This window comes from Homo sapiens, chromosome 6 (genome assembly GCF_000001405.40).
Source record: "Homo sapiens chromosome 6, GRCh38.p14 Primary Assembly".
Lineage (NCBI taxonomy): Eukaryota > Metazoa > Chordata > Mammalia > Primates > Hominidae > Homo > Homo sapiens.
Genome location: NC_000006.12, coordinates 31,262,944 through 31,279,492, shown reverse-complemented (window position 1 = coordinate 31,279,492; position 16,549 = coordinate 31,262,944). Strand labels below are relative to the sequence as shown.

Sequence of the window (16,549 nt, the reverse complement as noted above, 5' to 3'; positions counted from 1 at the left end):
GGGAGATGGTATCTCATTGTGGCTTTGATTTACATTTCTCTAATGAGCAGTGATATTGAGCTTTTTTAATTTTTCTCATTAAGATTTTAATGTCTCATTTCAAAAAATTAAAGGAAGTTTTCATTTATTTTTTAAGATAAAGATTTAGTGCACCCAAATGCCCCCAAAGCCAACAGAAAAATAGCTTTGCCCTGTCATTTCCATAAGAAAGCACTGCAGTTACTCAAAATATGCTCAAAGAAAAAAATGCAATCCTCTGAGTTCTAAGTTTCACGAAAGGACCACATGTTAAACTATGTATATCGATTTGATGTGTAAGTATGCAATAAATATGTACACATACATTCCTATCTGCTTCACATCATTCTAGAGTATTCATAGTATATGAAGATGGGATTTAGAAATGTGAAAAGGCTGTAACAGTGAAAAGGAAAAAAAGGGTACAATGGTTTTTAGACCAGTAGAATAATAATGCTTAGCTAGTTAATTATTTTAACTTTGGAGCAGACTAAAAAAGTTGTTTTGAAATAAATGGTACCTGTAAGTGATGCTTACTGCAATACTTGCTAAGTGTTATTTGTCACCACTGACAGGAATTATATAGTGCTAGTAACACAGCTCCCACTGTCCTAGAATTCCTCTAAATGGCCAGCTATTGCTACCATTATCTTGATAAGCATTTCAAGAATTGTGTTGCTGAGCCTTTTAAAAGATAACTAGTTTATAACCTATGTCTCCTTATGTGCCTACATCAGTTACTCATGGTCCCAAAGAAGTATAAAAGAGGATATAAGCTGCTGAAGATTTCACAGAAGAAACAGAGATATCAGAAACTTCATGATCATCAAACTTAAACCACCGCTGTTTTGCTGCATTTTTACAGTAGGCTGTGTAATGGCCTCCATCCAGCCCACCGCAGTGATCTGAAACAGAAAACAAATTATATTTCTTCAAATTGTTCTTTGGACCAATAACATACTGTGACAAGGCAAGATTTTCTAACGGGAAGTCCACAGATGTCTGTAATTTTTGTTTCCACCTGCCATTGTAGGAAAAATGTTTCAGATGCACTAAAAGCACAGGTGGTAACTTCCAGATTTCTTTTTTAAGAATCCCGTCGAGCTCTGCAAAGATTGCAGTAAAATCTGTTATTATCTATGAGTTTTTCTTCTTTAGAAAATAATCTAAGGCAATCCTATAATGTACATTTACTTGTGGATGCTATCAGTAGAGACAAATACATGAAGGCCTCAAGTGTCCTAGACTTTTTGTGACGGGTGAGGCACTGTACTGTAGATTTGAATTGACCCTGAAAAAGTGCAACAATAATAGACTCATAGAGCCGCTTGTGTTTCTGCCAGGCATGTTCTGCAGCTTTAAAGTCATTGAGATGATCATTATTTTCTTCTTTATATGTCTTCCGATTATCAGTTTTATTTAGATCTTCATGGAGACCATCCATTAGGAACAGAAGAAATTCTTGTGAATCTTGACTGTATCCTGCAAACTGGTAATTGATCTTCCCAATGGTGATTTTAAGGTCTTTTGGACTGATATATCTATACTGTCCTGTCCACGGGGCTTTCATGATTATACCAAATTCTTCTGCCACTTCACCTTTATGCCCCTAACAAATTTGACTTGTTAATGTCATCCTGATAACAGTTTCGGTTGAAATAATCAGCCAAATGTGGAGCATTACATAGGCACTGCAATATTGAGTTCATATAACAAGTATTTCCTAAGTTACGAAGTCCAGTAAGAGCTGGTCCAGAACCTCTGAAAACAGGACTGAGTTTCCAAATCTGAGAAGCAGAAAGCCTTGAGATCTCAGCTTTAGGGTAGCATGTTGGCTTGTCTTCCTGATTAACTGTTGGAGTTACTGCTGGCTTCCTCTTCTCTTCCTCTTTAATAGCCTGGGTTATATCTGGGGAGGAGTAAGAGCATTTCAGTTTGGAAGGTTCCCTATCCTGCTTAGCAGGAATCTGTGGCTTGCCTTTATGAGTTGGAGGGGTGGAAGGAGGTGCAGATGAAGGAGCCATTTCCAGTGGGTACATATGAACAGTGTTAGTGGTGAATGATAATAATGAAACGTTCCAGTGATTGGATCAAGAAACTTGGCCCAGCCTGAAGGCAGTCCTGGTACCATCCTCCCCATTTCTTCACTTCGTGCTATTATCGAAGGTTCTCGTTGAGTTTTATTTCTTTCAGTATCATCTGTATCCTCTCTAAAAGTTTCTGTCCTTAGAATTCCAGTTTCTGGTTGTCCTTTAATCTTAAAAGGCTTGCCTGAACCTGAATCCCCTGTCACAGATGTATGGGACACATCTCTTGTTGACTTTTTCTGTACTTCTGGGGTTGAACATCTTCTCCCCCTGTCCTCTACAGACTTCTCGGCACCAGAGGTTTCATGATCACTTTTACTTTGTCTTTTTACTCTTGTTATTTCTTTGCCCTTCTTTGCTGAGATTTCTTTATCCTCTTTCTTGGCCTGTTCACGTTCTTTCTTCTCCATTTCTTCTTTTGCTTTTTGTTGCTTCTGTGTAATTTCATTTTCTTCAGCTTCTTGTTTCTTTTTGGCTTTTTGCTCGTGTTCTTCCCTCCTCAGTTTCTTTTTGTTTCCCTTGCTGTCTTTCCTGAAGTTCTTTTTCTTATTTGTTTTTCTCCATTAGAAGAGCAGTTTCTGCATGAATATGAGCCTTTTCTTCATCTGTTAACATGAGAGTTGGAGAGGAAACTACTGGCTTGGCGGAACAATCAGGAATAACTTTTTCATTCTGAGGAGACTGTTGCTCATGATTTGTACTTTCAGATTTGATTATATGCTCTTCAGGCAATTTGACTGCCAGTTTTTTAGTATGATCAATCTGTGGAACATTCTTTATGCTAGGCACTGGCTGAATGATGGGTGAAACATCAGATTTAGAAGCAGCAACTGGTTCAACTGGAATTGATATATTCAGTGGTCCCGTCCTCTCATTTTGATCATTATCACTTATTTGATCACTGATCAATTCTATATTTTCATCCACTTCTATATGTGGAGGTGGCATCTGGGCAGCAGGTTTAGAAGGAATTGATTCTTCCAGTGAGGGATAAGTAAAATCCAATGAGATAGACAACTCTTCATTCTGGTGTTGTGGGGGTGGAGTGACCTTAGCATTTGTTGTATACTGGGAATAGCAAAGGAACCAGTTTTTACAGCCTCCCTCTAAAACCAAAGCCCAAGGCCCATTGCACAGGACAGTCTTACTTTCCCACTTGAAAAGTGCATCTTTCAGATGCCAGAGAGTTGTTCTAATCTGTAAATCTTTTGCAGAACTAAACCAGTCAAGAAGTACCATATACTCCACATTCCCCCTCTTCTTCCATGTGTCTATAGAATCATCTGGGAGGTGTGCTTCAATCCAGCTAGCAGTGACTCCTGGACTGATGGCTTCTTCAGGAACACTGAGAGAATGTAAAATACAGGAATCCTGATAATCCTGCATTCTTTGAGCATCCATTATAATCAAGCTGATGTTTTTATCCATCATCATTGTGTATAGTTCCTTTGCTGTGATTGCTCCTTTCTCTTTGGTCTCACATTTTTCATTCTTTTCACCATTGCTCTTTTGGGTTTTGTCTTTGGAATCCAATACAATCTCCAAAGAACCTTTAGCCAACGTGCTGCCATCCTCTCTTCCTGTTTCCTGCCTTTTTTGTTGTAGCCACTGTGCTTCCCCCTGCCTGTCCTTTTCCTCAAGTTTTTTCCAGATTTCAACTTCTTCATATCTTAGTTTAAGGCTTTCAGAGAGTCGTTCAGTTTCTCCAGTGGCTTTTTTGATGTTTGCAGGTCCAAGTATTGAACGGAAGCAATCCTGCTGTTGCTTGAAATCAGGTCTTTTTTGGATAGGATTATAAACAGTCACGTTTCATATACGTGTGTGAGCTTTTTTTCATATGTTTCTTGGCCACGTAAATGTCTTCCTCTGAGAAGTGTCTGTTTATATCCTTTGCCCACTTTTTGATGGGGATGGGTTTTTTTCTTGTAAATTTGTTTAAGTTCCTTGTAAACAAACATGTGAGCTCTTATCATTCTTGTTTAAACACCTAACAGCCATCCTAACCAGTGCAACAAGGACCAGGCATGGTGGCTCATGCCTGTAATCCCTGCATTTTGGGAGGCTGAGGTGGGAGGATCACTTGAGATCAGGAGTTTGAGACCAGCCTGATAAGTGAGACCTCATCTCTACCAAATAATAATAATTTTAAAAGAAAACAGATCAATGGATAAGAAAGGAAGAAATGAAAGTCTTTCTTTGTCACCAGCTTCATTGTATATGTAGAAAACACTAGGGAATTCTGAAAAAGTCTCTGGAATTAATCATTGAATTTGCAAAATAGTTCGTAAAATATATGTAATAAGTCACTTAGATGAACATGAAAAGATAGCAAACAATACTAGTCATCTAAGAAGTGCAAGTTAAAACCACAATGAGAAACCATCACACATCACCTAGAGCAGGTAAAGTTAAAAAGACATATGATAAGTCTTAACACTGGCAAGAATATGGAAAAAATAGGAATGTCTGCTATTGCTGGTAGGAATGCAAGAAATGTGGCAGCCAATTTGTAAAGTGGTATGGCAATTTCTTATACAGTTACCCATCTATTACCACATGGCCCAGCAATTCCACAAATACGTATTTATCCAAAAGAAATAAAAACGTAAGTCCACACTTGTAAGCAGTTATTTATAGTGGCTTCATTAATAACAAGCCCTAACTGGAGGAATCCACATGTCTATCAACTGGAGACACAGAAACCAATGAATAAACTGGGATTCCAGCAATACTCGGCAGCTGCTCAGCAACAAAAATGAATGAATGGCATCATCTCAAACATCGTTATGCTAAGGGAGAGACCAAACAAAAGACTACATAACATATGATTGCATGTCCATGAAATTCTAGAAATGTCACTATTGCAGTGACAGAAAGCACAGCAGTGGTTGAGTGAAGGGAAGGGGGTGAGGGTGGGAGGCAAGGATTAAATAGAAAGGGGGATAAAGAAAGTTTTTAGGGAAAAGAAACTGTTCTCTACAGCGCCACAACTCAGGAGTGACTGGGAGGGGGAGGTAAGGGGAGAAGAAGGTCTGAGGGATAAGGGGCAGAGAGAAGGGCTGGGGAAGCAGGAGGTGAGGACAAGGAGCAGGGGAAAGGACTCTAAAGCAGTGGAGGGGCCTAGTAGGAGGATCTTTGCATTTGGTGTTTCTCTACTGGGCAGTGTGGTAGTTACACTATAAATAATTACCAATATCCACCAAAAAGTGCAGCTAAAACTGGTGAATTTTTTTACACGTAAACGCCCTAATAAGCAAAAAAAAAAAAAAAAAAAAAAAAAAAAAAAAAAAAAAAGGCGGGGGGGGAGGAAAGAAGGCAAAAATAAAAGCATTGTTAGATCATCAAACCCATAAAATTCATTTCCTAGGGGTCCTGTACTACATGTAATTTTAAAGGACGTTCTTCAGGCTGAAGGGAAATGATACTAGATGGTGACCCAGATATACAGAAAGGAACAATTAACAACAGAAATGATGCACATACACATATCACATACACACCCATTTTCTTAATTTCCTGAAGATATGTGACTGCTTGTCTAAAACAAAAAGTATTACACTGTATCGTTGAGTTTATAACGTATATTGATGTAACATATACAATAATAATAGCATAATGATAGTTTAAGTGAAACTACACCATTTGAAGTGTCCTTTATTTTGCTGGATGCAGCTTAATATTACCTGAATTTCACTGTGAAAAGTCAAGGAATTGGGTTTCAATTCTTACAACAATAAAAAATTAATGTAAAGAAATATAGCTAAAAGCCACTAGGAGAATTAAAACCATAAGCTGAAAAATGTTTACTTGACACATAAGAAAGTAGCAAAGGAGGAACAGAAACAAAAAGATATGAGACAAATTGAAAACGTATAGCAAAATGGTAGACCAAAACCCAACCATTATAAGTGAAGAAATGACACGACCTGAGTCACATTAGCAGGACTGCTGAGCACTGTGGGGAGAACAGACATGGGCAGGAGGTGAGGGACAGTGTTAGTGCCACAATTCAGGAGTGACAGGGTGGCGGGGACTAAAGGGGAAAGAGGGTGTGAGGGATGAGAGGGGCAGAGAGAAGGGCTGGAGAAGCAGGAGGTGAGGAAAAGGAGCAGAGGAAAGAATTCTAAAGCAGTAGAAGAGCCTGGCAGGGGGTTCTTTGCATTCGGTATTTAATACATTTTGTGTGACTGCCTTAAAACTAATGGGCTCCTTATGATTTTTTTTTAAAAAGGGGTTACAAAAATATCAAGTGTCCAAATAAAATATGCACACTGCTTAGATGTGCATAGTTCACGAAAACGGGCAGTGCTGGAGCGCTGGTGAAGAGCATTGGGACTGCATGGAGCCCTCGCAACTTTGAGGTGATGACTACAGGCTCCCGGTTGCAATAGACAGTAACAAACCCTGCTTCTTTGTATTCAGGAGATGTTCTGGACTCACACAGGGAAACTCTGGCTAGAGAATGAGGATAACTTTAAATGCAACAACCCAGAGTCACAGAACCATAGTCTGCGAAAGTAAAACAGGAGCTTTGAGAATTTAATTGTAATGCAGTTTTGACACAGGTCTTTCACAGATTGGAATTCTAATCATTCAGGGATTACCAATATTGTGCTACCTACTGTATCAATAAACAAAAAGGAAACTGGTCTCTATGAGAATCTCTACCTGGTGCTTTCAGACAAAACTTCACCAGGTTTAAAGAGAAAACTCCTGACTCTACACGTCCATTCCCAGGGCGAGCTCACTGTCTGGCATCAAGTTCCCCATGGTGAGTTTCCCTGTACAAGAGTCCAAGGGGAGAGGTAAGTTTCCTTTATTTTGCTGGATGTAGTTTAATATTACCTGAGGTGAGGTAAGGTAAGGCAAAGGGTGGGAGGCAGGGAGTCCAGTTCAGGGACGGGGATTCCAGGAGGAGAAGTGAAGGGGAAGGGGCTGGGCGCAGCCTTGGGGTCTCTCCCTGGTTTCCACAGACAGATCCTTGTCCAGGACTCAGGCACACAGTGTGACAAAGATGCTTGGTGTAGGAGAAGAGGGATCAGGACGAAGTCCCAGGTCCCGGGCGGGGCTCTCAGGGTCTCAGGCTCCAAGGGCCGTGTCTGCATTGGGGAGGCGCCGCGTTGGGGATTCTCCACTCCCCTGAGTTTCACTTCTCCCAACCTGCGTCGGGTCCTTCTTCCTGAATACTCATGACGCGTCCCCAATTCCCACTCCCATTGGGTGTCGGGTTCTAGAGAAGCCAATCAGCGTCTCCGCAGTCCCGGTTCTAAAGTCCCCAGTCACCCACCCGGACTCACATTCTCCCCAGAGGCCGAGATGCGGGTCATGGCGCCCCGAGCCCTCCTCCTGCTGCTCTCGGGAGGCCTGGCCCTGACCGAGACCTGGGCCTGTGAGTGCGGGGTTGGGAGGGAAGCGGCCTCTGCGGAGAGGAGCGAGGGGCCCTCCCGGCGAGGGCGCAGGACCCGGGGAGCCGCGCAGGGAGGTGGGTCGGGCGGGTCTCAGCCCCTCCTCGCCCCCAGGCTCCCACTCCATGAGGTATTTCGACACCGCCGTGTCCCGGCCCGGCCGCGGAGAGCCCCGCTTCATCTCAGTGGGCTACGTGGACGACACGCAGTTCGTGCGGTTCGACAGCGACGCCGCGAGTCCGAGAGGGGAGCCGCGGGCGCCGTGGGTGGAGCAGGAGGGGCCGGAGTATTGGGACCGGGAGACACAGAAGTACAAGCGCCAGGCACAGGCTGACCGAGTGAGCCTGCGGAACCTGCGCGGCTACTACAACCAGAGCGAGGACGGTGAGTGACCCCGGCCCGGGGCGCAGGTCACGACCCCTCCCCATCCCCCACGGACGGCCCGGGTCGCCCAGAGTCTCCCCGTCTGAGATCCACCCCAAGGTGGATCTGCGGAACCCGCCCAGACCCTCGACCGGAGAGAGCCCCAGTCGCCTTTACCCGGTTTCATTTTCGGTTTAGGCCAAAATCCCCGCGGGTTGGTCGGGGCGGGGCGGGGCTCGGGGGACTGGGCTGACCGCGGGGGCGGGGCCAGGGTCTCACACCCTCCAGAGGATGTCTGGCTGCGACCTGGGGCCCGACGGGCGCCTCCTCCGCGGGTATGACCAGTCCGCCTACGACGGCAAGGATTACATCGCCCTGAACGAGGACCTGCGCTCCTGGACCGCCGCGGACACCGCGGCTCAGATCACCCAGCGCAAGTTGGAGGCGGCCCGTGCGGCGGAGCAGCTGAGAGCCTACCTGGAGGGCACGTGCGTGGAGTGGCTCCGCAGATACCTGGAGAACGGGAAGGAGACGCTGCAGCGCGCAGGTACCAGGGGCAGTGGGGAGCCTTCCCCATCTCCTATAGATCTCCCGGGATGGCCTCCCACGAGGAGGGGAGGAAAATGGGATCAGCACTGGAATATCGCCCTCCCTTGAATGGAGAATGGCATGAGTTTTCCTGAGTTTCCTCTGAGGGCCCCCTCTGCTCTCTAGGACAATTAAGGGATGAAGTCTCTGAGGAAATGGAGGGGAAGACAGTCCCTGGAATACTGATCAGGGGTCTCCTTTGACCACTTTGACCACTGCAGCAGCTGTGGTCAGGCTGCTGACCTTTCTCTCAGGCCTTGTTCTCTGCCTCACACTCAATGTGTCTGAAGGTTTGATTCCAGCTTTTCTGAGTCCTGCAGCCTCCACTCAGGTCAGGACCAGAAGTCGCTGTTCCTCCCTCAGAGACTAGAACTTTCCAATGAATAGGAGATTATCCCAGGTGCCTGTGTCCAGGCTGGCGTCTGGGTTCTCTGCCGCCTTCCCCACCCCAGGTGTCCTGTCCATTCTCAGGATGGTCACATGGGCGCTGCTGGAGTGTCCCAAGAGAGATGCAAAGTGTCTGAATTTTCTGACTCTTCCCGTCAGAACCCCCAAAGACACACGTGACCCACCACCCCCTCTCTGACCATGAGGCCACCCTGAGGTGCTGGGCCCTGGGCTTCTACCCTGCGGAGATCACACTGACCTGGCAGCGGGATGGGGAGGACCAGACCCAGGACACCGAGCTTGTGGAGACCAGGCCAGCAGGAGATGGAACCTTCCAGAAGTGGGCAGCTGTGGTGGTGCCTTCTGGACAAGAGCAGAGATACACGTGCCATATGCAGCACGAGGGGCTGCAAGAGCCCCTCACCCTGAGCTGGGGTAAGGAGGGGAATGGGGGGTCACATCTCTTATCAGAGAAAGCAGAAGTCCTTCTGGAGCCCTTCAGCCGGGTCAGGGCTGAGGCTTGGGGGTCAGGGCCCCTCACCTTCTCCTCCTTTCCCAGAGCCATCTTCCCAGCCCACCATCCCCATCATGGGCATCGTTGCTGGCCTGGCTGTCCTGGTTGTCCTAGCTGTCCTTGGAGCTGTGGTCACCGCTATGATGTGTAGGAGGAAGAGCTCAGGTAGGGAAGGGGTGAAGAGCGGGGTCTGGGTTTTCTTGTCCCACTGGGAGTTTCAAGCCCCAGGTAGAAGTGTGCCCCGCCTTGTTACTGGAAGCACCATCCACACATGGGCCATCCCAGCCTGGGACCCTGTGTGCCAGCACTTACTCTTTTGTGAAGCACATGTGACAATGAAGGACGGATGTATCACCTTGATGATTATGGTGTTGGGGTCCTGATTCCAGCATTCATGAGTCAGGGGAAGGTCCCTGCTAAGGACAGACCTTAGGAGGGCAGTTGGTCCAGAACCCACAACTGCTTTCCCCATGTTTCCTGATCCTGCCCTGGGTCTGCAGTCGTAGTTCTGGAAACTTCTCTTGGGTCCAAGACTAGGAGGTTCCCCTAAGATCACATGGCCCTGCCTCCTCCCAGTCCCCTCATAGGGCATTTTCTTCCCACAGGTGGAAAAGGAGGGAGCTGCTCTCAGGCTGCGTGTAAGTGATGGCGGCGGGCGTGTGGAGGAGCTCACCTACTCCATAATTCCTCTTGTCCCACATCTCCTGCGGGCTCTGACCAGGTCTTTTTTTTTGTTCTACCCCAGGCAGCAACAGTGCCCAGGGCTCTGATGAGTCTCTCATCACTTGTAAAGGTGAGATTCTGGGGAGCTGAAGTGGTCGGGGGTGGGGCAGAGGGAAAAGGCCTGGGTAATGGGGATTCTTTGATTGGGACGTTTCGAGTGTGTGGTGGGCCGTTCAGAGTGTCATCGCTTACCATGACTGACCTGAATTTGTTCATGACTATTGTGTTCTGTAGCCTGAGACAGCTGCCTGTGTGGGACTGAGATGCAGGATTTCTTCACACCTCTCCTTTGTGACTTCAAGAGCCTCTGGCATCTCTTTCTGCAAAGGCACCTGAATGTGTCTGCGTTCCTGTTAGCATAATGTGAGGAGGTGGAGAGACAGCCCACCCCCGTGTCCACCGTGACCCCTGTCCCCACACTGACCTGTGTTCCCTCCCCGATCATCTTTCCTGTTCCAGAGAGGTGGGGCTGGATGTCTCCATCTCTGTCTCAAATTCATGGTGCACTGAGCTGCAACTTCTTACTTCCCTAATGAAGTTAAGAACCTGAATATAAATTTGTGTTCTCAAATATTTGCTATGAAGCGTTGATGGATTAATTAAATAAGTCAATTCCTAGAAGTTGAGAGAGCAAATAAAGACCTGAGAACCTTCCAGAATTTGCATGTTCGCTGTGCTGAGTCTGTTGCAGGTGGGGGTGGGGAAGGCTGTGAGGAGCCGAGTGTGGACGGGGCCTGTGCCTAGTTGCTGTTCAGTTCTTCATGGGCTTTATGTGGTCAGTCCTCAGCTGGGTCACCTTCACTGCTCCATTGTCCTTGTCCCTTCAGTGGAAACTTGTCCAGCGGAAGCTGTGACCACAGAGGCTCACCCATCGCCCAGGGCAGCCCCTGCACACGGGAGTCCCTGTGCTTTCTGAGACAAATTTTCAGACCCATTCAGCTCCTGCCCTCCTTCTAGGGCTCCTCTTCTGCTTTGGTCTCCTGCCCTCTCTCCCTTCCCTGATTCCAGTGATCTTCGTGCTGACTCCAATCCCAACTCATGAATCTAAAGCAGAGCCTAATTTAGATTTGTATTTGTTTGTAAAATTGGGTCCATAGTCTAGAATTGTTCCTTCCTGAAGAGAGAAACCTGATCGTGTGCTGCAGTGTGCAGGGCGGTTGGTGTGGGAGGAGGGATAGGGGAGGGAGGACACACAAGCAGCCCTGCTGAGAAAAGTACAGGCGGCCTCGGTGTCAGTGTGAGGGGACCTTGTGCTGCAGCTGCCACAAAACAGCACTTGGCCTGAGGCTATGTTAATAAAGATACTGGCTTTAGAATAGGAGGTGCTCTACACTGATCATTCAACTGACCTTTGTTGTCAGCCAGACATAGGACAGAAAAGTTCTGCATCTGGGGAACGCCATTGAAGTAAAATCAGAAAAATATCTGAGCATATGCTCCAGTGGTAAGAGGCAGACGATACATACACTATAACCAGAGTAAGAAAAGAAAGTGATGGAAGGTGGTAAGTGCCATGAGGCAGGTGATCCGGGTATGGGCAGTGGGGACAGGGAAGGTGGCTGTTGGACAGGAGTGGTCAATGTGTGCCTTGTTGCAAAGATGACCTTTCAGGAAAGATTTGAGGGATATGAGGATGTCTGGGGAAGTTCTTTCTAGGCAAGGAAACTCCAGTCCAAATGCACAATGGCAGGAAGGTGTCTGTGTTCCCAGAAGAGCAAGGAGGCCAGGAGGGCTGGACAGAGAAACTAGATGAGGTCAGAGGTGTGGCCAGAACAGGTGGGCTTGAGGGGAGTGGGGTTGCATCTGACCTTTGCTCTGAGTGGGATGGGGAGTTAGAGGACAGTTTTGAGCAGAAGAGGGCCATGATATGACTTCTTTCTTAAAAGGATCTCTGATGGCTGTGCTGAGGACAGAATTGAGAGGCGAGGGACGAGGGAGGCAGAAGGGAAAACAGGAATCGAGTGCAGTATTCCAGGCTGGAGATGTCGGTTACCTTGACTGGGGTGTGAGCACAGGAAATAGTGGGACGTGAGGGGATTCTGGATACATTTGAAGATAGACTCACAGCATTTGCCAATGGATTGTATCTGTGGTGTGAGAAAGACGAATCAAGGACACCCATAGTTGTAAAATGAGTGAGTAGAAGGAAGGGTGGAGCTGCTGTCAGTGGAGATGGGGAGACTCTGGCAGGAGCGTCCTGAGGAGGGGGCATCACAGGCACTCAGTGGAGGACATGGCTACTAGGAATGCAGGTGGGGGAGCTGGGGTGGCAGTTGGGCAGACAACTCCACAGTTCAGGGGAAAGGACTGGGCTGGAGAAATAGATTTAAGAGGTCACACCACATAAAGGATACTTAAAACCTCAAGCATGGATGAAGCACCAAGGGAGTGATTGACTATGGAAAAGAATGAGTGCAAGGACTGAACCCTGGACCTCCAGTTGTAAGGGATCTGATCAGACCACAGAGCAGACTGCACAGTTCTGGCCCCACGTCTAGAGGACACTCAGACAAGGAACCCCCATGTGCACCAGGATCACCTGTATGTGGTGCTGAGATCCAGGAAGTCTGGAGTCGAGCAAGAGATTCTGGATTTATGACAAGGCTGGAGCTCACGTTACTGGTCTCCTGATCACACTTGGAGCAGCCAGAACACCAGGATCCCACATGTCTGCATCAGCCTCGCCTGTAAGGCTTGTTATGTAAATGATTCCTTGGTCTTGTGCATAATATTGTGAGACAGGGGTTCTGAGGAGTGGCCTGAGTATTTTCTAAGCCTCCACCAGAAATCTTGTTGCTCAGCCGGATCAGGAACCTCAGAGATCAGAGAGTGCCCAGGGTGGGTGAGTGGGTGGGGTGGGGTGGGTTTTCAAACCCTGTTTAAAAGAGGATTTTTCTTGCAGAAAGGAAAGGGAGGATGTATATCATCAGTTAAGAGATGTGATATTCCCTGTTGATCTCTCCACCATGAGGTAGAGGCCAGGTAGACAATTCAGGATGTGGCTGTCACACAAGGAACACCTCCGAATGCTGCTCTCTGACCCTGGTCCATAGATTCATTTCTCACTCACCTCTTGGAGAAAACTATGGAAAACAAATTTCTGTAATTTACACATAAAGTAGTATATCTGGTATTGGGGGTTAATTTTATTGTGGGGAAGGCCACAGAACCAGGCTGAAAACTACACATCCCGGAACAGAATCCATAGCCCACGCCCCTGGATCAGGTCCCTCCTAGGAACAACTGCCCCTGCTGCTGAGCACAGACACCACTGCTCACACCTCTGACATCCTGGTGCTGGACACTGGACCCCAAGGCTAGGATAGATGTCACTGCTGCACCTGGCAACTGGACATCACTACTGACACTCAGCCATGTTTACTAAAATGCATTCTGCACAATCCCAGCCTTTCTGTGTCACCTCATACTAGCTCAGAGTCTGGCAGTGATATAGGATTTAAGAAGAAATTATTTAGGCAGGTAGTGAGGGTACAGAAGTCTCAGTAAGGTTTTCTTTTTAATGGAAAGCAGGCCCCAAATCATTTTCTTTTCTGACAAAGACCAGCCTGTAAAATCAAGCTTCAGACATAGACAAGCAAGCTGGAAGCTTGCACGAGTGAATGCTGGCAGCTGTGCCAATAGGAAAAGGACACCTAGGACTAGACGTGTTCACAATGATGGCTCCATCTTCCCTTCTTTTTGCCAGCCATGTGTTCAGTAAAGAGCAGGCAACATAGCACCGGCCAATAAACTCACTCCTTGTGTGTCACTGTCCTTAATCTTCTTGGCAAGATACAATGAACCCTGAGTATTTACCTGAGACAACAATGCCGCTTCAGCAGGTGGTCATCTGACTGATGGAGTTTAAGACTCATGTCCATTATCAACTGCAGGGGTGACTGGAGTGTTGTGCTATTCTAGGGATGCGGGTGGTTTCTATCTCCTCTTAACATTTTACATGTTGTAAACCAAAAATAAACTTCAAACCCACCCTCTCCCAACCATCTTAATGGACACCCTCCTCAGCCAGGGTGCTCAAAAGTTAACTTGAAAGACTGGCTCAAGCCACCATGGGAAGCAGGTGTTGAACATGCCTCATTATGGCCTCTTCCCTTTTGGAATTCAGGAAAAGCTGACCAGCAATTAACATCAACACAGACCTTAAGTCTGATCAGAAACATTATAATCTATTCTCTCTGAAGCCTGGCACCTGGAGGCTTCAACTGCATGATAAAATTTTGGACTCCACAACCTCTTATCATAACCCAGACGTTCCTTTTTATTGATAATAACTCAACCAATTGCCAATCAGAACATTTTAAAATCTACCTATAACCTAGAAGCAGTAACCCCCAACCCCCGCTTGCTTCAAATTGTTCTGCTTTTCTGGACTGATCCAATGTATATCTTAAATACATATTATTAGTGTCTCATATCTTCCTAAAATGTATAAAACCAACCTGTACCCCAACCACATTGAGTACATGTTCTCAGGGTCTCCTGAGGGAAGTGTCATGGGCTGTGGTCACTCGTATTTGGCTCAGAATAAATCTCTTCAAATATTTTATGAAGTTTGCCTCTTTTCATTGACAGTGTGGAATTCTGATGTAGTAAGAGGGTTGAAGTGCTGGAGTGTGAAGGGTGGGAAAAGAATGATAAATTTTAATTATTGGAGCAGTGCTCCAAGACAAGAAATTTATCTTGTATCTGGTAGGGATTCAGAGTGTCTGAATGAACCAGTGACTAATAAATAACATCTTTCCACCCATTCCATTGAAAATAAGTTATTACATCAAGTTTTTGTCTATCCCAGTTCATACTCCAGATTATTGGAGTGGCATTGTGTGCTTGGCATTGTCTCTTACTAGGATTAAAACACCCAGGTTTGTAAGATCTCAGAGGATCTGGTTGCACACTGATGTTTTATATTAATATTTATATTTTCTTGTGTGTGGAAATATTTCTGGGGAGAGAATCTCTGACACTTATTAGTTTTTATGTGACCCCCTCAAAGGCCTAAAAAATCCTAACTTCTAGGTTAGAGGTAGGGCCACTCCATGTCTGGACAATGAATAGCTGGTAGAAACCTGTGTTTAGCAGACTTAGGGACATGAAATAAATGCTTAATTTTTTTTTATCTTTTCCTCTGGGACCGAAGAAGGTAGAGGTTTACTTGCTTACTCTTACTGTTGTTGCGGGAAGTCAAGGACCCTGAACGGAGGGACTGGCTGGAGCTGCGGCAGAGGAACATAAATTGTGAAGATTTCATTTTAATATGGACATTTAACAGTTCCCAAATAATACTTTTATAATTTCTTATGCCTGTCTTTACTTTAATCTCTTAATCCTGTTATCTTCATAAGCTGAGGATGTACATCACCTTAGGACCACTGTGATAATTGTGTTACAATTTGATTGTAAAACGTGTGTTTGAACAATATGAAATCAGTGCACCTTGAAAAAGAAGAGAATAACAGCAATTTTTATGGAACAAGGAAAGACAACCATAAGGTCTGACTGCCTGCGAGGTTGGGCAAAAAGAGCCATATTTTTTCTTCTTGCCCAGAGCCTATAAACAGACGTGCAAGTAGGAGAGATATCACTAAATTTTTTTCCTAGCAAGGAATATTAATATTAATACACTGGGGAAAGAATTCATTCCTGGGGGAGGTCTATAAACGGCTGCTCTGGGAATGTCTGTCTTATGCAGTTGAGATAAGGACTGAGATATGCCCTGGTCTCTTGCAGAACCCTCAGGCTTACTAGGGTGGGGAAAAACTCTGCCCTGGTAAACTTGTGGTCAGACCACTTCTCTGCTCTCAAACCCTGTTTTCTGTTGTTTAAGATGTTTACCAAGACAATACGTGCACTGCTAAACATAGACCCTTATCAGTGGTTCTGCTTTTGCCCTTTGTCTTGTTCCCTCAGAAGCATGTGATCTTTGTTAGACCCCTATTAGTAGTTCTGCTTTTTGCACTCAGAAGCGTGTGATTTTTTACCTACTCCTTGTTCTTACACCCCCTCCCCTTTTGAAACCCTTAACAAAAACTTGTTTGTCTGAGACTCAAGCGGACATCACAGTCCTACTGATATGTGATGTCACCCCTGGTGGCCCAACTGTAAAATTCCTCTCTTTGTACTGTCTTTCTTTATTTCTCAGCTGGCTGACACTTATGGAAAATAGAAAGAACCTACGTTGAAATATTGGGGGTGGGTTCCCCCAATATACTGTAAGTTTCTCTCTGTGGGATGGTGATGGGGTTTTCCTCCAGCCAAATAATTTTCTGATTCTCCAACAGCAACTGGGAGTCCTAGAATTTGACTCAATTCTGACACTAACTACCTGGAGTTAGCCTCAGACTCCACAGGTTTAAGGACTCAGTCCCACAAGTCTGTCCTCACTTCAGATGCAAGTCACAAGTTATTGGGTTCCAGGTTACCTGCACTTCTGTCTATCATGGCTG

The 16,549-nt window shown here is 45.9% G+C and overlaps 1 protein-coding gene and 1 pseudogene across 1 annotated transcript, besides 5 other annotated features; one reads left to right on the top strand and one right to left on the bottom strand.

Moving 5' to 3' along the window:
- Nucleotides 58-559: an enhancer, noted in NCBI's record as "OCT4 hESC enhancer chr6:31246711-31247212 (GRCh37/hg19 assembly coordinates)". NCBI's record gives its function as "activates a minimal SCP1, AML or CMV promoter by ChIP-STARR-seq in primed H9 embryonic stem cells {active_cell/tissue: H9 hESC(primed)}" and the evidence as "EXISTENCE:reporter gene assay evidence [ECO:0000049][PMID:30033119]".
- Nucleotides 69-3,921, bottom strand: USP8P1 (USP8 pseudogene 1; annotated as a pseudogene).
- Nucleotides 7,401-10,744, top strand: HLA-C (major histocompatibility complex, class I, C). Its single transcript, NM_002117.6, has 8 exons — nucleotides 7,401-7,494; nucleotides 7,625-7,894; nucleotides 8,145-8,420; nucleotides 9,008-9,283; nucleotides 9,408-9,527; nucleotides 9,968-10,000; nucleotides 10,108-10,155; nucleotides 10,320-10,744. The coding sequence occupies exons 1-8, from the start codon at nucleotides 7,422-7,424 to the stop codon at nucleotides 10,322-10,324; spliced, it is 1,101 nt and encodes a 366-aa protein (NP_002108.4). The 5' UTR covers nucleotides 7,401-7,421; the 3' UTR covers nucleotides 10,325-10,744.
- Nucleotides 9,461-9,962: an enhancer, noted in NCBI's record as "OCT4 hESC enhancer chr6:31237308-31237809 (GRCh37/hg19 assembly coordinates)". NCBI's record gives its function as "activates a minimal SCP1, AML or CMV promoter by ChIP-STARR-seq in primed H9 embryonic stem cells {active_cell/tissue: H9 hESC(primed)}" and the evidence as "EXISTENCE:reporter gene assay evidence [ECO:0000049][PMID:30033119]".
- Nucleotides 10,748-11,249: an enhancer, noted in NCBI's record as "OCT4 hESC enhancer chr6:31236021-31236522 (GRCh37/hg19 assembly coordinates)". NCBI's record gives its function as "activates a minimal SCP1, AML or CMV promoter by ChIP-STARR-seq in primed H9 embryonic stem cells {active_cell/tissue: H9 hESC(primed)}" and the evidence as "EXISTENCE:reporter gene assay evidence [ECO:0000049][PMID:30033119]".
- Nucleotides 11,368-11,927: an enhancer, noted in NCBI's record as "OCT4 hESC enhancer chr6:31235343-31235902 (GRCh37/hg19 assembly coordinates)". NCBI's record gives its function as "activates a minimal SCP1, AML or CMV promoter by ChIP-STARR-seq in primed H9 embryonic stem cells {active_cell/tissue: H9 hESC(primed)}" and the evidence as "EXISTENCE:reporter gene assay evidence [ECO:0000049][PMID:30033119]".
- Nucleotides 12,063-13,006: an enhancer, noted in NCBI's record as "OCT4 hESC enhancer chr6:31234264-31235207 (GRCh37/hg19 assembly coordinates)". NCBI's record gives its function as "activates a minimal SCP1, AML or CMV promoter by ChIP-STARR-seq in primed H9 embryonic stem cells {active_cell/tissue: H9 hESC(primed)}" and the evidence as "EXISTENCE:reporter gene assay evidence [ECO:0000049][PMID:30033119]".

Coding starts and splice junctions, on each gene's coding strand:
- HLA-C (NM_002117.6), top strand. CDS start 7,422: ATGCGGGTCATGGCGCCCCGAGCCCTCCTCCTGCTGCTCTCGGGAGGC. Junction 8,421..9,007: donor GGAGACGCTGCAGCGCGCAG/GTACCAGGGGCA, acceptor TCTTCCCGTCAG/AACCCCCAAAGACACACGTG. Junction 10,001..10,107: donor GAGCTGCTCTCAGGCTGCGT/GTAAGTGATGGC, acceptor GTTCTACCCCAG/GCAGCAACAGTGCCCAGGGC.